The sequence below is a fragment of the Homo sapiens genome, chromosome 9 (genome assembly GCF_000001405.40).
Source record: "Homo sapiens chromosome 9, GRCh38.p14 Primary Assembly".
NCBI classification, from domain to species: domain Eukaryota; kingdom Metazoa; phylum Chordata; class Mammalia; order Primates; family Hominidae; genus Homo; species Homo sapiens.
Window position 1 is genome coordinate 103,692,250 of NC_000009.12, and position 24,265 is coordinate 103,716,514.

The following is a 24,265-nucleotide window of genomic DNA, read 5'->3' on the forward strand; positions in this document are numbered from 1 at the left end:
TGTCATTGTCTGTCCCCCAAAGAAGCTTCTCTTTCAATGGTTGACAGAGCATGTAGTCCCTAGACTAGCAGCATCTTTTTGGAAATGCGGGTTTTTTTAGCCAAACTGCAGACCACCTGAAATCAGAAACTCTAGGGACGGTACTCATCAATCTTCTTTAGCTCTCCAGGTGATTCTGAGGCACGTTCTATCTGAGAACCATTGAGCTACATCACTGATTAGAAAAGAACTAAAGATTGAAAAATAAACAGAAGTTTCCAGAATCATTTAAAATGAGTCTTTCTTTTTTCTATCTTCTACCCCCTTTCTGCTTAAAATCCACAGGACTCTGGAGGATTTCTAAATAAAATGTTGAATTTTATATGTAAAATATAACAATATTTGTTGCTAAGGTCATACTTATCTCTTTATTCTGTGCATGACTATTGTGTTCATCTTGTTCTGAGATAAAGAAAGGTCTTTGATTTTTATTTACCTAAAATTACAATTTTAACCTCTGAAATGTGGTGTTTTAAAAAGTGACACTAAAAAGTTAAGGCAAAGGAAATAATGGATCTGGGAACTATTATGCTATCTTTTCCACCTTTTCCTGGGTTCCATAGAATTTATGCCTTAGAAATATCACTTCGTTTATTTATCCTATGGCATCTCTTCTCTATTCCCTTAAATCTGTTACAATGGGACATATCTGTTGTGGATGACAAACATGATCTTCCTCTCATTTAATAAGTTGTTTGTTGTTGCCATTGCTTATATTATTTGTAATGTTATCCACTCATTCTTCTGTGTGCAAATCCAGGTCTGCAGCTTGATCACCAGAACAGTTTCTGTAGGAATCCAAATCTCCCTCAAAAATATAAAAGACAGATGCATTTGGGAGATTTCTTCAGGTTATTTTGATGGTCTATCTTTAGTCAACATAGCAGGAATTAAGAGAAAAAGTAAGAATCCATAGCATGCACTGAGCTCCATCTTCCAAGCACCTGGGGGTTTTGATGGTGGTAGCATTCTAAACTTTATGGAGACAAAGATACCAATCTTTTTCATTAGTCTCATACTTTAATCTACCTTGTAAATGTCAGTTATATATTCACTCATATTTCTAAAAGAATTTTTTTTCCTTTTTAATGTATTTATCTAATTTACCTGGAATTATTGATAAGATGTGGTTCTGATTAGATTTTTTCCCTCAAATATCTGTCAGAGCTCCTAGTATTATTTTATTCTTCTTTCTCTCATTCTTTTTTTTTTTTTTTTTTTTTTTTTTTTTTTTTTTTTTTTTTGAGATGGAGCTTCTCTCTTGTTGCCCAGCCTGGAGTACAATGGTGTGATCTCAGCTCACTGCAACCTCCGCCTCCTGGGTTCAAGTGATTCTCCTGCCTCAGCCTCCCGAGTAGCTGGGATTACAGGCACGTACCACCACGCCTGGCTGGTTTTTGTATTTTTTTAGTAGAGATGGGGTTTCACCATGTTGGCCAGGCTGGTCTTGAACTCCTAACCTCAGCTGATCCATCAGCCTCAGCCTCCCAAAGTGCTGCAATTACAGCTGTGAGCCACCATGCCTGGCCATTTCTCTCATTCCTATGAAATACTTCCTTTACCAGACACAAAAATCACATGTAGACCAACATCTAGTTTTGAGTTATCTACTGTTACTAAAATTTGAAATAACTTGAATAATTTATGCCTATATCACCCACTGTCTGCCGACTTTAAAAATATTCTTAAGATTATTCTCAATTTTAATTGGCTGACTTTAGAATCATTGCCATTTGTTTTGAGTTAAACCTATATACTAATGTAAGAAATAAAAACGTGTCTCCTGTCTAAAATTGGGTGTGATTTTACAATTATTCAAATTTTATTTTATGTTTCTTCTTATAATTTAAAAACTCTCTCTGCTAAGGCCTGAGATTTTACTTGTTATGAAATATTTATGGAATAATCTCTCATTTTATGCTTTAGTATTGTATGATTTGTGTGGCTCTTGTTAATTTAAAAAGGTGATCAAATTCCCTCCATATTTCACAACTAATTGTATATACATGAAACATTTGTACATTTTTAATTCTCACTTTTGCAAAACTTTATTATTTCTCTCTAGTTATACCATTTTCCTTTTTGACAATATAGCACACAATTTAGCAAAATATCTAATACCCTTAGGAAGGGTGCTATGATTGATTTCCAATGTAAGGAATTCCACAGGACACTGAAATTCTTTGTTAGCCTGTAACTAGAAACAGAATGATCTATACTCTTCAAGGAACAGATATAAATAAAAACTAGTGAGAGAAAGTGGTTTTGCAGGTTAGATTAAATCAATGTCTGTAAATTAGAATTCTAATAGTCCAAATTCACATTTCTGGGTAAATCCCATGAAAGCTCCAGACTATTTCTTTTGGGTACAAAAAATTACACAGTAATGCAACCAAGAACAATTTGATATGGAGATATTTTATACATTTTCTTCATTTTCCTTTTCATGAAATTTGTGAATAAACTAGAATTTAATACTAGCATTTGATTCTCAACTCCCATTTGGTGAACAGCATAATTATCTTAGGTGGAAGAGCTAATGCAATGCCTTAAGCTAAGGATTGTTTTTCCTCTTGCTCTAAACCTGAAGCTTTCATACTTGAGATAATCTATCACTTTGCCTTGCCGCTATGGAAACAATAGTGGATATGACTAATTAAATTAAAACTTGCCCATTTATTGTAATACAGACAGAGCACAAATCTTAAAATTATACCTTACTGGACCTTCATCTGTAAACTGTGGAATAATAACAATGGAAAATGGACTGGAAAATATTAAAGTGTCTCATAAATATTTGTATGATAATATACAAATACTATTTTATTCCTCTATTTTATATAGAAATATTAAAGCCACCAATTACTGAGTTATATTATTCATTTTCTTCTTATTTCCAGCACGAAATCACTAAAACAATATTTAATAAATCTCTAAATATGCCTGGAGCTATGCTAATAGGCAATTTACAGATCAATTTTTACCACCTATTAAAGGCTTAAATTTAATTAAAAATTATAATCCAGAACTTGGTTGGTGTTTTTTTAAAATATGCAGAAAGTTATAAGAAAATGTTTCCTTAGTCAGCATGAAATATTTGTGGACACGAAATTCGTTGTTAGAGATTTTAAACAATGTATGGATTAAACAATTATAGGCACTTATTAATAAATAATAGACCCTTACCACTCATTTATGATGGATTATAAAGTGTTATCTTTTGAAAAAGTGATTTTTCTTTATTTTAATTATTACATTTCATGCATGGAAAGCAACATAGGAACTGTTATTAAATCCTACCTAGATAGAAATAAAATGGCTTGAGCTACAAATTTAGAGGCTGTTTCTACATGACAGCAAGACATTTCAACAATTAAGTCAGTTCAGTAAATATCAGACAAATATTGTTTCACTGAATTGCTACATTGAACTCACTTTAGTTGCTTCACTGAACTGACAGTTTTTTTTGTCTGGTTGGTTGATATAAAAATAGTTATTAGTAAAAGGAAAGTGTGCATTTTGTAAAAACTATGACAATGATATTTAATTTCCTTTTGAATATTATTAATTTAAATATGTGGCATATATTGTCCAAAGAGTCTTAAAGCATAAAATTGAGTAATCTTTTATGGTAGAACACACACACACACACACACACACACACACACACCCTCTTTTGGTGCATTTGCATTACAAAAAATTGGAAGAAAGTATTACCTCTTTGTAAAACCTTTTCATTCAACAGTTTTATGAATCAGAAATTAATTTTGTTTCTGTCCTTGAATTTTTCTTTTTTTTTTTTTTGAGATGGATTCTCACTCTGTCACTCAGGCTGGACTGCAGTGGCATGACCTCGGCTCACTGCAACCTCCGACTCCTGGGTTCAAGCAATTCTCCTTCCTCAGCCTCCCAAATAGCTGGGACTACAGGCACGTGCCACCACACCCAGCTAATTTTTGTATTTTTAGTGGAGACGGGGTTTCACCATGTTGGCCAGGGTGGTCTCAATCTCCTGACCTCGTGATCCTCCCACCTCGGCCTCCCAAAGTGCTGGGATTATAGGCGTGAGCCACCACACCCGGCCAAGGAGAACACTTCTTTTTTTTTGGAAGGAATTTCACTGTTGTTGCCCAGGCTGGAGTACAATGGCACGATCTGGGCTCACTGCAACCTCCGCCTCCAGGGTTCAAGTGATTCTTCTGCCTCAGCCTCCCAAGTAACTGGGATTACAGGTATGTGCCACCATGCCCGGCTAATTTTTGTATTTTTAGTAGAGATGGGGTTTCTCCACGTTGGCCAGGCTGGTCTCGAACTCCTGACCTCAGGTGATCCTCCCGCCTCAGCCTCCCAAAGTGTTGAGATTACAGGTGTGAGCCACCATGCCCAGCTGAATTTTTTTTTTAACTCAAACAGATTCTGATAGACAAAATCTATTTCTGAGTATTGCTAATATTCTGTAACTTAATCTGGGTGCTGGTTACACAGTATATTCCATTTGTGAAAATTGAGTATGCTATACACTTATACTATAAGCATTTTTTTCTGTATGTATGTTTTACTTCAATAAAAGTTTTGTAAAACTGTCCAGTTCCATATATTAATCAAAAAGTATTTAAGTCTCTCTTTCATCATTTGGATCCTTTAATTTGTGAGAAGCTAATAAAAGCAAGTGGTCCTTCTTCCATTTCTAATGCTTCCATTCCATCTTGCTAACCAGAGTTTCTGACAACTCCATGGTCAGGTGAAGAAAGGATACAGGTTAGAGGGTTACATTAGTTAGGATTGTCCAGAGAAACATAATTAATGAAATGCATGTATAGGTATGGAAATAAATTTATTTTAAAAAATTGGTTCAGATTATTGTAGGGACTGGGAGGTCTGGCAGGCTAAAGACCCAGAGAAGAGTTGATGTTGCTGTCAGAGTTTAATGGCAGTCTTGAGGCAGAATGTCCTCTTCCTTGGGGGACCTGGGTGTTTTTCTCCTAAAACCTTCAACTGATTGGATGTGGTCCACATGCATTATGGGAGGTTTTTTGCTTTACTCAAAGTCTACTGATTTGAATGTTAATCTCATCTAAAAAATTTGCATGATATCCAGACTGGTGTTTGTCCAAATATCTGGGCAATGAGGCCAAGTTGATATGTAAAGTTAACCATCACAGAGGTCATGAGGTTCTTGTTTTACTTTACTTTTTCAAGTTGATGATGTACCTCTGGGCAGAACAGATCATAAAAAATGACTTTTTTATGGCTTTATCTCTTTGATACTTCCCAGATTCCTGAAATGACTACTAGAAACAACTGACTGCACTTCTGTGACCTGGGTAATGTACTCCCTTTTGCTGACCAGTCTAACTCGGCTTGTTACTATTGTTGCTGTGTATTTGTATGTTTTAAGTATACCTTATTCTCTCTTTGATTATGTTTTCCTCTTCCAGAAGTAATTGGGGGCAAGATTTTAAATGGTTCTGGTCTGGCTCACGCTCTCATTTGGTGATATTTGATCCACAGAGAGTGAAGATTGATCCCAACACAGCTACCTCTATTTCTGCATACTGTGTAGCAGAAAGCTAGCCTATCTCTTGTGTTTTACATGTCCTGGTAGGCATTCTATACAGGCCACTAACCACAAACTGCAGAAGATACATATTAACCTTTCTGAGTAGTATCCTTGAAAAACCTCTTACAAGGTTTTGGGTTAGAGGTGGACATACTCCACCCCTCAATTTTAGCTTTAAGGAAGTAACACTCAGAGCTCAGCTCTTTACAGAGAAATTCAGTCTAAAATCCTCTGTTAATCTACTACAAGCCAAATCTTTACAAAGCAGGTATAAATGAGGGTTTAAGATCCATATAGCATGTGTTTTTTTTCTTTTAATAACTCCATTCTTTTAGGGTGGCCTGACAAATTACTTTGGGACCTAATAATTATTGTCTTGTTGTCCCGGCTAAAACTTATCTTAACAGTCCATTGAATAAGTTTACAAATTGAATATTTGACTTGTGATATCAGATCCAACACCCCTTGATGTATTTATGAAGAACAGTGTTTTCACACAGACATGCATACCCATATAAAGTCCATAAATTGATGAAGCAGAAAGATAGCCTACGTTTTGTTAAAATTTTTTTGGATGGTATGCTATGTCTTCCTTTGGCAGGGAAGACTAACCATGATGCTTTTTTCTTTGACAGACATACTGTTAGAATACCAGGAGAGATTATGATACAAGAAAAAATGTGTTATATATTATAATTGATTACATAGAAGAGTGGAAGGCGTCAATGGCAGAACAAGAGGCAGGAGTAAAAGGGGAAAGGACAGAGAACAGTAATACATGCTCAGCAGGCATGGCAAATACAGAAGATATAAAGCCAGTCATGGTTAATAGCAGTTGAGTCAAAAAAGATAAGTTCAAATCCAAGAATTATCACAGAGTGAGTGTGTTGTGACCAGTGGAGGGGGAAGGGCCAAAGTAACAGGAGATGATATTCAGAGATACAGGAAGACAGAAGTTTGTTACCAATTGTAAAGTCTGAAATTCAGATGTGAGACCTCAGGTGTAGATTTGAGAATTTCCATGGACAGAATTTCATCCCCAAGGAAAGGTTTTTAAGTGAGAACAACTCATAAAGTACCCTTACTCTCGGTAAAGATGTTAAGGCATCCTATTCATATGGTAGGTGTATTATCAGAGAAAAGGATGTGTTTTGTTTACTTGTTCCCATGACCTAACAAATGCCTAAAAAATAAAACCAGTGTACAAGTTCAAAGCCATCCTACCAGCAAAAGGATGCCAATTTAACTAGCTCATCATTAGGCTAGCAATTCAGATCCCCAGGGTAATGATCATTATTTTTCCATAGTTTCATTGTACTAGTCAGCATTTATTTTGTTGCAAATGCAGATCAACTGAAGAAAATAAGGCAAACAAAACCAACTAGGATTTGCATGAAGCCAGGGTCTAAAAGCTATTAATCTATCACCAGGTCCTTCTTACTCTCTCATTCTCTTGAGTCCATTTCTCTTTACGGACTGGTATCATTCCTTTTGAAATAGAAGACTCATGTTGTTGATATTAGCAAAAAAGAAAAATATAAAAACTTATTCTCATAAAAAGATCAATAATGAAAAAACAGGAATGACCTCTAATACATAATTGTAGGCCGAATCTGGATATTTCGTCAATAAGCATGTTGTGAGTTGATCATATCGTAAAATCTGAATCTAGACTTGAGGTTCTACTAGACCTATAACTTAGATAAGTTAATAAACTTCACTCAGATTTAGTTCCTTCATATATAAAATGAATATAGAGGTACTTTGAAAAGTTGTTAGCATTAATGAAATAAAGTATAAGTGACATACTGTGGACACACAGTAGTTGCTCAATAAATAGTTGAAAGGATCAATTAGTACATATAACAGTATTCCCAGGCCACACCAAAAAGGGTTAACAATTGTAACGGTATTTATTCTGATCCCTCAATCAGTATTTCAGAAACTAGAACCACAACTCACTGAGAACTTTCCTTTTGTAATGGGTCTTTGCAAGCTTATTTTCGTTTTATGCCTTTGTCAACTGCTCCTTTTGGTAATGCAGATATCAAGAATGGCACACAGGCTCCTTTCTGCCACTGTAGTACTATTGGCTCTTCTCACTGCAGCCAATGCTGGTGTTTCAAAGCAGGTTTCTCCCTAAGTTATTACAATTCTCATACATTACAAAAAGAAGTCTTCCTTTTTTGTTTCCTAGTTTTATCTTTCTTACAACTTGAAAAATGTTTCACAGGAACTGGGGCAGAATTAAGAAACTCCCTTTTGTGGCAGAATCAGGAATTTTTGTCCTCACCAATAGTCAGTGTCTTGAACTAAAGTATATGAATCTTGGCTACCTCTTATTTCTGAGTGTATTCCCTACTTTCTACGAGTGTATCGCTAATGTTTAAAAATGATGTGGCCACTTTATGACTTTCAAGTCTGTTGTCCCTGAGTATAATAGCTTCTCACAGTTGCTCCCAGGAAGACAAGAAAGGCCAGATGCCAACAGGACCCTGTCAGCCATCTTCCATACCTTCAGTCTTAGATGTGATTATACAGATGGCATTAGAATAGGGTTCATCACTAACAGAAAACAAAACAGATGCACAGAGGGATCATTCAAAAGTGGCAACAGTACTTTAGATTCCCTGTCTGCTAATTTAATGTAGATTACAAGCTGCAAAGACAATGAGCCAATGCTTTTATTTTGTAGTTCAGAGACTTTGTCTTAGCCAGGGTCCTGGAAGGAAACAACACATCAAAGAGTTTAATTAAAGAGAGTTCAGTAAAAGGACAATTTACAGAGATGAATCAGAGTTGATGGAAATGACACAAGAGATCATCTGGTGTACGGGAATTTGCAATAGTGGGAGGCTGCTACTATCCATTGTTCTATAGCTGAAAGGAATGGAATGTATGAGAAATCCTAGAGGGAGCTATAAGCATAGAAGAGGGGCTCAGAGACCAGCTGTGGCTGCAGAAAAATACAGCCACTGCTAAAACTATAGCCCAACAGAGAGGCAATAGGAATAAATATCCCATCTCTCACTCCTCTTACCCTATTGATACTCCAATTGGTGAAACCCAAATAGTAGCTAGACAACAAAGACATCTGGTGACACAGCCTGTAGAAGTCAGCCTTCTAAAGCACAGAACAGTGGAGAGAAGGTCAAGTAATGTATCTAAAGGTAAAAATGGGGAGTGGCCAGCCAGTCTACCCCTTTTGTCATTCAGATTCCATTCTCATCCTTTTATTTAGAGAAAGTCTAGCATTTGAAGCACAAACTCATAAATGTCAATTTGCTATTGTCCTACCAATGACTTGTTCTCCATCCAGTACCACCAATGGTGATTATAATATTTGTTGCCACTACATGACCATCAATTACCAACCACAAGGGGATTGTCTGTGTACCCATCCAGTAAATACAACAAAATCCAGAAATCCATTTGAGAGTTTGGGTCTTATGTCCAAACCTGATACAAATTATTTTATCTTTCATTATCATAAATTCATATTCAAAAATTTAAAGAGACAACAGGTTGAAGATTCCTTATCCAAAAAACTTGGAATCAAGTTTCAGATTTCAAATTTTGAATTTTGGAATATTTGCATATACACAATGAGATATTTTGAGACTCGGACTCCAGTCTAAACACAAAACTTATTTGTTTTATATACACCTTACACATACAGGCTGAAACTAATTTTATGTAATATTTAAAATATTTTTTGCGCATAAAACAAAGTTTTGACTGTGTTTCGACTACAACCTATCACGTAAGGTCAGGTGTGGAATTTTCCACTTGTGTCTTCACTTCAGCACTCAAAAAGTTTAGGATTTTGGTGCATTTTGGAATTTTAGATTAGGTATGTTTAACTTGTGTAACAAAAGGACAATTTTCAGATGTGTGGACATGGCTAAGGAGCTGATGAGGAACAATAAAGGTCTCAGGGTCTAGGAACTTCATGACTTTTAGTAAAACTCTTCCTAATGGGCGAGGGGAAGAAACAGTGATTCAGAGTGTGATGTGACTGGAAACTCTCACAAAGACTAAGTCTTAGGTAGATGAAACAGCCACCAACAAAAGTGTGATCTGATATAGAGGGAGCAAGGAAGATAAATACCCAACCTCTCTACTTTCCCACCTTTTGTCAGTGCATATTACTGACCAAACCAAAAGGAAGCCAGAAGTCAAGAGAGCCTGTATATTGCCTTTTAATAGAATTTATTCTCACACGATGCAGAGAAGAGCAGAAAAGAATGGACAATAAAATCAAGATTGTCATAAGGTGAAAACTAGCACTGTCATTAATTTGGGTCTCTTCTACGTTAGAAGTTAATCAGTGATGTCTCTAATAGGAAGTTAAAAATCATTATAAACGTTTGGAACAGGAAAATCTTATCACATAATTAGATAGCACACTGGGTCCCAAGGGACATTGATGAGGTTTCTCTTTTCTTTCAAATATAAAATTGCCTGATTTCCAATGCCTCTATTTCATTGAGACTCCATGATGCAAATCAAAATGAGTTAAAATATGGTTATCTATTTAGTCATTAGATATACATTTAATAAATTTCTTCTGTGTAACTGACACAATAAAGGCATTTAAAATTATATTTTGTAATTATTTAATAGCAAAGTTTTAATATTTCTCTTATGTCAAAGAGAAGGGAACAAAATGTTGGAGAATAAAAAAGTTGGGAAGGAATTAGAAAGGCTATTATCCAAAAATAAATCAGAGCATTCAAAATTGCATAAAAGAAAAATCTCATTTGTTTGCAGAATGACAAATCTATTCTACTTCAGTAATGGCTACAAAAGTCAGATGCTTGCTTTACTCCAGCAGGGAAACATATCCATCATGAGGCTTAACGTGCTCTTGTGTACTTTCTCGAATGCTTTGCTAACACCTGCTGATTTACCTGCAATACATTTTCCAGAAACTGTTGAGTAAAATGACAACATATATATTGAGTTTCACACTTCAGTCTCTCCAATTAACAGTGTTTGCAGTACCAGCTGTGAGCCCAGGAGAGGATTTAATGTTAAGTACAGCGGTCTAGTTAACAACAACAAAAAAGCTGAGCCATGAATATGCCGAATGTTTGTTTCTTATCATTTGTTTCTGAGAAATAGCTCTCTATTGCAGTTATTCAAACTTGCTCACAGAACTAGCTCCTGACATTATATACAGGAGTGGCATGAGACAGGCTGCTGTGGTAGGCACAATTAAAATGTATAGTTACTAAGAAACCTTAGCAGAGCCCCTGTCCTCACCTGTTCACTTATCAAAACAATACAAGTCCTTCTGTGCTCAGTTTCAATGACTATAAAGTGAGATTAAAGAGTTTTGAAAACAGCGGTCATATACAACACCAAGCCATGCAAAAAGGAAGAAGAAAAATAAATTTACTTACATACAAAGAGAACTAACCTTGTAGATTTTCTCTTTTTAACTCAATATCTAGGCAATAATTGAATATTTACTGCTATTTAGGGGACTGTAGCTGTAGGCAAAAGATAGGAACAGGGACAGTACTATTAATAGGTTTGTATCAACTTAAAGATACCAAAAGAGTGTATAAAGTCTAGTCTTATTTAAGAGGTGATTAGAAAATTATTTATTCTAATATAGACCAGTGAGATGGGGCTGCAGTGAGCTGAGATCATGCCACTGTACTCCAACCTGGGCCACAGAGTGAGACCCTTTCTCAAAAAAAGAAAAAAAATTTAAAACTATAAAAACCCTAGGAAAAAAACCTTAGGAAGAACCCTTCTTGGCACTGGCCTGGACAAATAATTTCTAACTAAGACCTGAAAAGCAAATGCAACAAAACCAAAAATAGACAAATGGGACCTAATTAAACTAAACAGCTTTTTGCACAGCAAAAGAATCAACAGAATAAATGAACAACCTACAGAATGGGAGAAAATATTTGAAAACTATGCATTGGACAAAGGACTAATATCCAGCATCTATAAGGAACTTAAGTCAATAGGATAAAAACAAATAATCCCATTAAAAAGTGGGCAAAGTGCATGAACAGACACTTCTCAAAAGAAGACTTACAACCAGCCAACAAACATGAAAAAATGTTTAACGTCACTAATGATCAGAAATGCAAAGTAAAACCACAGTGACATACCATCTTATACCAGTTAGAATGGCTATTAAAAAGTCAAGAAATAATATATGTTGGTGAGGATATGGAGAAAAGGGAATGCTTATATGCTGTTGGTGAGAATATTAATTAGTTCAATCCCTATGGAAATCAGTATAAAGATTTCTCAGAGAACTAAAATTAGAACTAACATTCACCCAGCAATCCCACTATTTAGGAAAATAGATCCTTTTATCAAAAAGACACTTGTATTCACACGTCTATTGCTCGACTATACACAATAGCAAAGTCACGGAATCAACCTAAGTGTTGATCAGTGTTCAATCGGGTAAAGAGAATATTGTATGTATACACCATAGAATACTACACAGCAATAAAAAAGAATGAAATCTTGTCATTTGCAGCAACGTGGTTGGAGCCGGAGGCCATTATCCTAAGGAAAATAACTCAGAAACAGGAAATCAAATGCTGCATGTTCTCACTTATAAGTGGGAGCTAAAAAATGGGTACACATGGATAAAAAGATGGAAATAATAGACATTGGGGACTCCAAAATGGGGGAGGATGGAGGATGTGGGCAGCAGTTGAAATACTTCACAATGGGTACTATGTTCACTGTTTCTGTAATAGGTTCACTGGAATCCCAAATCTCAGCATTCTGCAATATATCCATATAACCAACTTGCATATGTACCCCCAAACGTAAAATGAAACAAATAGTCTTACAAACCAAATCAACAACAACAAAAGCCAAACAAATTACAAGGAAAAAAACCCCACAAAGCTGTAGTTATGGCTTATAGAACAGGAGGTAAGTGAGTCAGTGTCTTGCAGTGGATGAGCTGCAATTATTTTACTATTCCTTATCTCGAGGCCAGTGCTTGTTTAGCTGCCAGAGAAAAAGAAAAATCATCGGGCCAGTTAGAACATAGTTTATCCTTTAAGTGCAGGGGTGTATGACTTAACCCTTGCCTGGCATAATCTTAAGTCTTGTTTATAATTTGGTATCTTATTGCCACAAAGACTCCATTCTGTCAGTCTTTTGGTCTCTATTTGAACACGAATGCTGGTCACTGTTGTGTCTAAACCATAATGGACATATGTCCGACCTTGAGACGTATGAAGGAGGATAATGGAGTACGTCTGACCTCCCAACTTGTCATGCCCAGGAATTTAGTTTTTAAGATCTCTCTGGAGCACACTTGGCCAAGAAATTGTCCATTCAGTTAGTTGGGTGGCTTAGGATTTTAGTTTTAGCTCTCACCCCTAAATGTTAACATATATACCTCAGTAGGAAGGTGGCAGGGTAAGAGCTAGAGAATCTATGCCACTCTGTAACAAGGGAAACTTCCTGGTCAGGGAAGGGGCCTTGCTATGCGTGGTGAGACTCCAGTGCCCAATGTGGTCTCTAAATCCATTCTTTTGCTGAGATAACTCATATCTGTTAAGTTAGAAAAAGTCTTTGGGCCAATTTTAGAATACATGTATTTCCTACAAAATTCTCTTTCAGGATTTTACTTTATTAGTAGCACAGAATTGAACAATTCTTTTCATGCATTGGAAGACTCAATATTCTAAAGATGTCAAGTAGCCCCAAATTGATCTTTAGATTAAATGCAAAACCAAGTAAAATCTCAGAATTATCGTATAGAAAATGACGAGCAAATTCTAAATTTTAAGAAAATGGAAGGATCAATGATATCCAAGGCAATCATAAATTTTAAAAGTTGGGGACGTACACTAACACTTGTTGATTTATATTTCAAAGCCATAGATATTAAGGCATTGTGATATTGACACAGCGCAGACGAATAGATCCATGGAGCATTATAAAGGTTCTAGAAATAGGCATACATATATTGCCAAGGAATAATTTATGACAAGCATATCACTGCAGTGTAATATAAAAAGTCCATTCTTCTTAGTAAATGGCACCAGATAGTCATTTTGAAAACAATGTATGTTGCCACTATCTCATAAAATACAAGAAATTAAACTCCAGATACAGTATATATCTAAATTTAAAGGTGAAATAATAAAGCTTTTTGAAGTAAATACAGGTGACTAGCTTCATTGCACTGGACTAGACAAAGACACTATAAATAGGATACAGCAATCACTAACCATAAAGAAAAAAAATTCCAAAAGTTGAAAAAACAAGCCAGAGTAGAAGACATTTTCAATACGTATATCTAATAAAAGACTTGTGATTGTTCCTTCCTGCCTGTTCTACAGATTTCAGACTTCTTCAGCCAGCCCCCCAAATTACAAAATCATATCCTACTGATTCTGCTTCTCTAGCTGAACCTTGAATGATACAGAATTAGTTGTCTATTGCTATGTAAAAAATTACCACATATGCAGTAACTTTAAACAACACCCATTTACTATCTCACAGTTTCCATGGTTCAGAATCCCAGGCACAGTCTCATTGGGTCCTCTGCTCAGGATCTCACAAGGCTGTAATCAAGGTGTTGGCTAGGCTGCATGCCCTTACAGACCTCAGGGTTCTCTTCTAAGATCACCTGGTTGTTAGCAGAATTCAGTTATTGAATTTGTAAGATGGAGGTCCCTATCTCTTTGCTACCTATCAGCTGAGGCTCCTCTCAGTAGCTTGAGGCCACCCTTAGTTCCCTGCCACATGACTCTCTCTCAGGTCCTGGACAGCATGGTAACTTACTCCTTTAAGACCAATAGGAAAATCTCTGACCTCTAGACCCTCTTTTAAGGAATCACTTGATTGGGTCAAGCCCACCCGAAATAATATTTCTTTAAATTAACTTTATATCTGAAAAAATTCCTTGAGGTCACTGTATAATGTAACCTAATAATGAGAGTGATATCCATCATATTCACAGATATTGCCCATATTCAAGGGATAGTATTATATATAGTTTTTATGCCAGGGAGTGGAAATCTTAGGAGCCATCTTAGAGCTTTGCTGGCAACAGTCCACTCCATAGCTCTTAATAAATCACTTCCTTCACACTTGCAAAATACATTCATATTTTCCAAAGATTCCTAAGAATTTTATGCCATTCAGCATCAGCTCAAAGTCCAAAATCTCATCATTTAAATCAGATACAAGTGAGCAAGAGGCTCCCAGATGTGAACTGTTAAGTACACCACCTGGAACTCAATTTCTGTCCATATGTACACCTGTGAAACTAAAGCACTACGTTATTTACCCTCCATGTACTTAACATAAAAAGGTAGGACAGGCATATGACGGTAGTTACAAACATTCCAGTTCAAGAGAGGGGAAAAATGGAAGGTAGAAAGGACCCACTTGTCCATAACAGTTCTGAAATCCAGCTAGAGTTCCTTGATTGGGTTTCAAAGCCTGAGAATAATTCTCCTTGGCTTTCAGTTCCTTCCTCAATCAATGCCCTTGGTTCTGCCCACTGAGTCATTCCTTTTATAGGAAAGGATGTTTTTTCAGCTGAGTACAGTAGTTTTATTAGCCTACTTCCTGCCAGTAGAATCTTGGGATTCTGACAGCCTTCTTTCATTTTATATTCTCTATCCCGTTTAGTTCAACTTGGCAGCATTTCTGCTGAAATAATTTTCTCAAGAATGGTGAGAATCTTGCATGGATTTTATTGGGTTTCACCCCATTAGACAAAAGCCACACCTACCATGTTTTTTTCCAGATAATCTTTTATCTTTGGTTCCTAATGAGATGGCTGAGAGACAGTGCTCTTAAGTTTCCTACAGGCCCTCTGGTTTGATTGAGGGTGTCTGTAAGGCGCACAGTTAATTTCTGTGAAATGACCTTTTATGTGACTGAATATTCTGACCTTTTGATCTTTCAGAAGTTGTAGTAAAAGGTTGAACAGTTACATACTCAGCCATTTCTTTATGCCACATGTTCAGCTGTCATTTCTGACTTTTACCATCTTTTGCCACCTGGAGAGGCTGAGATTTTCAAAGTTATCTGGTCCTAGTTCTTTTTGTTTAGCAGTTCTCCCCTCAATTTCTCTCTCCCTTGTCACATTTCATTACAAGGAAGAAGCCAGGTAGCAGCCTTGAGTCTTTGTTTGGAAATTTCTTTAGCCACATAATCAACTTCGTTGTTTAGAAATTCTGTTTTCCATATAACTTCACTATGTTCTCTACCAGTACATTACAAGGATCTCTTTTCTTCCAGTTTTTAATTACATGTTCCTCACTTCTTTCTGAACTCTCACCAGCAGCATTCCTATGGTCAGTAATTCCAACACTACATTCAAGGCCATTGACACATTCTTCATCATGTTCTTCAAAATTATTCTAGCCTTAACTACTGTTTAGTACTAAAACCACACCTACATTTTAAGTATTTTTTTTTTACAGCATCATTCTACTTCCTGGTACCAAAATTTGTATTCATTATCTATTTCCGCTTAACAAATTTCTACAAAATTTGTGGCTGAAAACAGTATAGTTGTATTGCTTCATAGTTTCTGTAGCTCAAGAATTTGTGCCTGGCTTAACTGGTCTTCTGCTCAGTCTCATCAACCTGAAATTGGGGTGTCAGCTGGGGCTTTGATCCCATCTGAGGGTTGGAGCACTCTTCCAAACTCCTGTGGTTAGTGGCAGAATTCATTTCCTTACAGCTCTAGAATTTATGGCAGCTTGCTTCAAAATCAGCAACCCAGAGAAAGAGAAAATCTGCTCCTTCAAATCTCTGAACTCTAGAAACTCTTTTAAAGGGCTCATCTGGTTATGCCAGGCCTGCGTGTGATAATTTCCTCTTTGATCACCTTAAAGTGATTTGGAACCTTAATAAGATCTGCTTAAATCTCTTCACCTCTGCCATACAATGTAACCTAATCACAGAAGTGACATCAATTATGTTCACAAGCTCCATGCACACTCATAGAGAGATTGTACAGTATGTGTATGTTGGGGCAGGAGTGGGAATCTTAGGGGTTATTCTAGAAGTCTCCTACAACAGTTGAGAGGGGTGCAACATTAGGCATGTGAAGGAGATGTTGGATGGTGTTATTTTCAAGACAGGAATGAATCATTTCTATTTTTTTCAAACTTTCACCATTCTCTTAATTTTTTCCAGCTTTATTGTGTTAACAAATACACACATGGTGTACACTTTGACATTTATTTCAAGTATCTCACTTATATGTGGAATCTAGAATACACCAATTCATACAAGCAGAGAGTAGAATGGTGGTTTCTAGGGGTTGTAGGGAAGTAGAAACAGATGTTGGACGAGGAGTACAAAGTTTCAGTTATGCAAGATGAATAAGCTCTGGAAGTCTAATGTACAGCAATGTGACTATAGTTAATAATAGAACATTATATACGTACTTGAAATTTGCTGTAAGGGTAGATCCTGAGTTTTCTTCCTTGTTTTATTCACTGGTAACTATTGCCTTGTCTACTGGAAAAATGCCTTGGATTCTTAAAAGGTGGGAAAGGTTCTTGTAAGATTCCTTTTTTCATTTCTCAATCAGATATATCCCTCAATAACAGAAGCATCATTCCTAAGACCCTTGTAATGGTGAATCCAGAAAGACAAAATCAGGCAGAGCAGCATAATTGGAAAACTTCCTTGCAAACCTTTTTAAGCCTTGCCAAGGTTTGAATCCTTGCCATTTGTAACTAAAACAAGAGGAACTTGGTTTCAGTTTATATGAAATAATGGCATGAAATTTGAGGTGAGACATTAGGAAACTATTAAAATGAGAATCTTCCAATAAACCAAAAGAAGCTCCACAATTTGGGTAGAACTTAAACTCATGAGGGATTATGCTTTAACAACTGCTAGTGGGAATAAGGAGCTCCACATGCATGTAAAGTTCCAATTATATAACTGACTCTTCATAAACTATTGCAACATTACAGATTCCTGTCCTGCTGTGGAGAACAGTTGTCTACTATGACCAAAAGAGAGCAAGGTTAATGACATTGACCTCAAAAATGACAAAATTTCACTAGCACAAGAAGCTGAATTTAGTCTTCACAGAAAAACTGCTAATCATTTTAAATATTTTCCTTTGCTAAATAATCTTTCCAACTTCATAGCCATTCTTAGGTTCCATAGTTGAGATTGCCAGTTAAGACTTACATAAAAATTTGTTTCAGAATCACTGGTTATTTTTCTTTTAAAAAAATAATATCTCATTGTTCAATTCCCACCTATGAGTGAGAATATGCAGTGTTTGGTTTTTTGTTCTTGCGATAGTTTACTGAGAATGATGATTTCCAATTTCATCCATGTCCCTACAAAGGACATGAACTCATCATTTTTTATGGCTGCATAGTATTCCATGGTGTGTATGTGCCACATTTTCTTAATCCAGTCTATCATTGTTGGACATTTGGGTTGGTTCCAAGTCTTCGCTATTGTGAATAATGCCGCAATAAACATACGTGTGCGTGTGTCTTTATAGCAGCATGATTTATAGTCCTTTGGGTATATACCCAGTAATGAGATGGCTGGGTCAAATGGTATTTCCAGTTCTAGATCCCTGAGGAATTGCCACACTGACTTCCACAATGGTTGAACTAGTTTACACACATGGACACAGGAAGGGGAACATCACACTCTGGGGACTGTTGTGGGGTGGGGGGAGGCGGGAGGGATAGCACTGGGAGATATACCTAATGCTAGATGACGAGTTAGTGGGTGCAGCGCACCAGCATGGCACATGTATACATATGTAACTAACCTGCACAATGTGCACATGTACCCTAAAACTTAAAAGTATAATAATAAAAAAAAAAGAAAGAAAAAAAAATTTCAACTTTTATTTTAGATTCAGGGGGTACATGTGCAGGTTTGTTACATGGGTATATTGTATGATGCTGAGATTTAGGGTATGAAATATCCCTTTACCCAGGTAGTGAGCATAGTGCCCAATAGGCAGTTTTTCAGCCTTGCCTCCCTTCCTTTTTCCTTCCTCTAGTAGTCTCCAGTGTTTATTATTCCCATCTTTATGTCGATTTGTACCCAATGCTTAGCTCCCACTTCTAAGTGAGAACATAGAGTATTTGGTTTTCTGTTTCAGTGTGAATTTGCTTAGGATGATGACCTCTGGCTCCATCTATGTCACTGCAAAGGACATGATTTCATTCTTTGTTGTGGCTGCATATAATTCTGTGATGTATATGTAGCATATTTCCTTTATCCAGTCCATCATTAATGGGCACCTAAGTTGATACACTCATATACCCATTGCAGTACTAGTCACTGCAGTGGACATACGATTGCATGGGTCTTTTTTGTAGAACAATTTATTTTCTTCTGGATATGTACCCAGTAATGGGATTGCTGGATCAAATGGTAGTTATGTTTTAAATTATTTGAGAAACCTCCAGACTGCTCTTCTCAGAGGCCAAACTACTTTACATTCCCATCAAGAGTGTGTAAGGGTTCCTTTTCTCCACTGCCCCACCAGCATCTGTTATTTTTTTTTCTTTTAGTAGTAGCCATTCTGACTGGTATGAGATAGTATTTTATTACAGTTTTGATTTGTACTTTTCTTATGATTATCACTATTGAGCATTTTTTCATAGGTGTTTTGGTTGCTTGTATGTCTTCTTTTGAGAAATGTTTTTCATGTCCTTTTCCTCTTTTTATATTAGGTTACTTGTTTTTCTTATTGAATTAAGTTCCTTATAGATTCTGGATATTAGACCCTTGTTGGATACATAGTTTGCAAATATTTTCTCCCATTGTGTGGGTTGTCTGTTTATTCTGTTGACAGTTTCTTTTGCTGTGCAAAAAGTTATTTAGTTTAATTAGCACCCACTTGTCAATTTTTTGTTGACATTGCTTTTGAGGAGTTAGTCATAAATTATTTGCTAAGCCCCGTGTCCAGAATGGTATTTCCTAGGTTAGCTTCTAGGAATTTTATAGTTTGATATCTCAGATTTAAATCTTCAATCCATCTTGAGTTGATTTTTCTACGTGGTAAAAGGTAGGGGTCCAGTTTCATTCTTCTGTATATGGCTAGCCAGTTATCCCAGCATAATTTATTGAATAGAGAGTCTATTCCCCATTGCTCTTTTTGTCATCTTTGTCAAAGATTAGATGGTTGTAGGTGTGTGGATTTGTTTTGGGATTCTCCATTTTATTCCATTTGTCTATATGTCTGTTTTTGTACCAATGCCATATTGTTTTGGTTACTGTAGCCTTACAGTATAGTTTGAAGTTGGGTAATGTGATTCCTCAACTTTGTTCTTTTTGCTTAGGATTGCTTTGGTGATTTGGATTTTTTTTTTTTTGCTCTATATGAATTCTAGATTAGTTTTTTCTAATTCTATGAAAAATAACACTGGTAATTTGACAGGAATTGTGTTGAATCTGTAAATTGCTTTGAGCGACATGACAATTTTAATGATATTGATCGTACCAATCCATGAGCATGAAATGTTTTTCCATTTGTTTGTGTCATGTCTGATGTATTTCAGCAGTGTTCTGTAGTGCTCCTTGTAAATATTTTTCATCTCCTTGGTTAGATATATTCCTAGGCATTGTATTTTTTGTGGCTATTGTAAACAAGATTGTATTCTTGATTTGGCTCTCAGCTAGAAAGTTATTGGTGTATAGAAATACTACTGATTTTTGTACATTGATTTTGTAGCCTGAAACTTTACTGTAGTGTTTATGAGGTCTAGGAGCATTTTGGCAGAGTATTTAGGGTTTTTTAGGTATGGAACCTTATTGTCAGCAAGATAAATAATTTGACTTCTTTTCCTATTTGGATGCCGTTTATTTCTTTATCTTGCCTGATCACTCTGGCTAGGACTTTCTGATTATTTTTCTTAAATGCCCATGTTTACTCTTGTCTCCATACCATATTTGTATATGTGTGCATGTGTGTATTACATATATAATATATATACACACATATATGTAATGCATGTCTGTGTGTATATATGTATTATACATATATGTGTGTGTGTGTGTATATATATTATATATATATATTTTTTTTTCACTGAATCATCCTATATTTCTCTGAAACATTGGAAATGCTATGGTTATCCACTTTTCCACAAGTCATGATGGTATAATTTTAGAACACTAGTTAAGACTATGGTATTAAGTTAAGATATGTGTATTTTTCTGCATGTGTGTTACACGTTCCATAAAAGTTTTCTAAAATCACACAAAAAAAGAATAGGCTAGCAATATGGCATGGCATAAAGCCTCCCCCCAGCCCCCACCATTACCCCCAGCTCACACACGCACATACTGTAAACAGAGAAAAGTAAGCCCTGTGTCAAATGTCATACTTTCTCAGAAGGCTGGCCAAAGGAATTGGCTTAACAGACAAGGTGTTCAGCAAAAGTGTGGCTCTAAGACTGAGCCAGTGACAAAACAAATAAATGAGAAAATAATGTGGAATCAATTTTCTATGTCCAGGCAGTATAAACCTGCAATGCCTGACCCTGGAAATAATTACATCAACCTTAGTGCCTGGTGTTCAGGGATTTGGCATGGTTCTTTCTAATTCCCAGAGTGTAACTAACTAGTGCCAAGTCAACTTCCAGTTATAAAATGCAATGAGAGAACCAGTTAATTTACTAGAACAGAAATTCAAATTAGAAATTAAAAACAAAACTATACCTTGTGGACTAATAACCCTAATCATTACAAAAAAACACTTTCTATGTTAAGTATTTTCATAGCCATTATTTTATTCAGTCCTCATAAGATTCTTTGTGGTAGACAGCTTTTGAGATGACTTACAAAGATCTTCATTTCCTTATGCCTTTGTGCTATTCCTCCCTTGTGTGTGGACGAGACCTAGTGACTTTCTCCTAACAAGTAGAATATGGCAATAGCAATTCCAAAATTAGACTACAAAAGGCTGTGACTTTTATCTTATGGCATTCTTTCTGACTCATCTCATGCACTCGCTGTGATGAAACAAAATGCCATGTTTTGAGCTACCCTATGGAGAGGCTCATGTGGCAAGGAGCTAAGAGTGGATGTCAGCCAATAGCCAGTAAGAAAGTAAAGCTCTCAATCCACATATCCTTGAGAATATCAATTTATCAAGAACCATGCGCATAATTTTGGAAACATTCAAACCTTCAAAGAAAACCATGGTCTTAACTATACATCAGTTGCAGTCTTATAAAAGACCCTGAAGCAGAAGACTCATTAAGCCATTCCCAGAGTCTAGACCTACAGAAACTGCAAGAGAATAATGTGTGTTGTTCTAAGCTCCTAAATTTTGGGGTGATTTATTATGTAACCATAGATAACATAGAGTATGTGAGTTGTTAGGTCAGTGATACCCCTGAATTTGAGCTGTTATACTTTATTGTAGGCAGTACTATTCAGGACGTACACACAGGCAATGATTTCATGACAAAGATGCCAAAAGCAATTACAACAAAGCAAAATTGACAAATGGGATCTAATTAAGGAGCTTCTACACAGCAAATGAAACTATCAATAGAGTACACAGACAACCAACAAAATGGGAGAAAATTTTTGCAAACTATGTATCTGGCAAAGGTCTAATATCCAGCATCTATAAGGAACTTACAAAACAAAAACAAAAACCAACAACTCCATTAAAAAGTGGGCAAAGGACATGAACAAGACACTTCTCAAAAGAAGACATAAATGCAGCCAACTACCATATGAAAAGCTCAAGATCACTGGTCATTAGACAAATGCAAATCAAAACCAAATGAGATACCATCTCCCACCAGTCAGAATGGCTATTATTAAAAAGTCAAAACATAACAGATGCTGGTAAGGTTATGGAGAAAAAGAAATGGTTTTACGCCGTTGGTAGGAATGTAAATTAGTTCAACTACGGTGGAAGACTGCAGACTGCTTTTAATTTGTATAATTCATTGCAACCAACCCAGATTTCCACCAATGAAAGCTATTAGTGTTCTTTATGTCAGTTATCAACAAATTGCCTCTTAGCGACAAATCCATCCTTTATTGCCTGCTTTGTGATACTGGATCCACATCCTGTAAACATAGGTCTTTTGCCAGCTGGTGTGATGTTAAACTGTAATTGTTGGTAGAGGATGCTGGAGGGACACTACAGAGGAAGGGGCTTCTCTTTCTGGTTTCGCTGTATTCCTCTTTTCTTACTGCTGCAGTGCTGATCTCTATGCAGGGCACCTGGTGATGTTTACCTCTCTGTGAGTTGCCCTGAAACCCCATAGATCTGTCAGCATCCTAGGGGGCTTTTTAGGGAGGTCAGTCTAATTTCAGCAGGTAGCTTTCTCAACAAATTCCACAAATACCACAGCCAGTTTCCCAGGAAATTTAGTGCAAATTCCACAGTAGGATTTCCAGCAAGCTCCACCAGCACCACAGCTGGCTTCCCAGCTGTCTCAGAGTTGCCCTAGTGGCAGCTTGCTAGTGACTTTCAGTGCCCTAGAAGGCAGCCTCCTGGAAAGTTTTGTCAGCACTCCAATGGGCAGTCTCCTGCTTACCAGCCTCAGCCTGTGGTGCCTCCACATAATACTCAACTATCCAGTAGGCTACAGTCACTCCTTCTCCAATGACATCTGGATCCCTACCTTAGAGTAGGGAGTGTATCTTCTAAATTTTTTTCTTCCTTGTGTGAACCCTGAAAATTTGAAACAGGTGTCAATTAATTCAGACAGTTAATTTTGCCAAGGTTGAGAACACATACTCGTGACACAGCCTCAGGAGGTCCTGAAGACATGTGCCCAAGGTGGTCAGAGCACAGCTTGGTTTTATACATTTTAGGGAGACATAAGACATCAATCAATATGTGTAAAATGAACATTGGTTTGGTCCAGAAAGGTCCAAGGGGAGGGGACTTCCAGGTCACAGGTAGGTGAGAGAAAAATGGTTGCATTCTTTTGAGCTTCTGATTAGCCTTTGCAAAGAAGGCAATCAGATATGCATTTATTTCAGTGAGCAGAAAGATGGCTTTGAGTTCTCAACTAGAATTTTCCTTTTAGCATAGTGATTTGGGGGCCCAAGATATTTTCCTTTCACACTTGGGTACTCTGCATCAGCCCTAAGTATAAGTTGGCTCCCCATATCTGCTTTTCCTATGATTTTTAGAACTATCTTTAACACTTACTAGTTAATCGTGAGTTAGTGCTGAGATAATTGATTAATAATTCTTTTTTTATTATTATTTTTTGAGGCAAAGTTTCACTCTTGTTGCCCAGGCTGGAGGGCAATGGTGCGATCTCAGCTCACCACAACCTCCGCCTCCCAGTTTCAAGCGATTCTCCTGCCTCAGCCTCCCGAGTAGCTGGGATTACAGGTGCCTGCCACCACGCCCAGCTAATTTTTTGTATTTTTAGTAAAGATGGGGTTTCACTATGTTGGCCAGGCTCATTCTTTACATAAAATGTTCTGTTCAAATTAATTTGTGGTCTCTGTTTCCTGCCTAAACCCCAAATGATACAACATTCAATTTATTTATTTATTTATTTATTTATTTATTTTTATTTTATTATTATTATACTTTAAGTTTTAGGGTACATGTGCACAATATGCAGGTTTGTTACATATGTATACATGTGCCATGCTGGTGTGCTGCACCCATTAACTCGTCATTTAGCATTAGGCATATCTCCT

The 24,265-nt window shown here is 36.5% G+C and overlaps 1 annotated feature.

The window, feature by feature from the left end:
- Positions 22,532-23,121: an enhancer, noted in NCBI's record as "OCT4-NANOG hESC enhancer chr9:106477063-106477652 (GRCh37/hg19 assembly coordinates)". NCBI's record gives its function as "activates a minimal SCP1, AML or CMV promoter by ChIP-STARR-seq in primed H9 embryonic stem cells {active_cell/tissue: H9 hESC(primed)}" and the evidence as "EXISTENCE:reporter gene assay evidence [ECO:0000049][PMID:30033119]".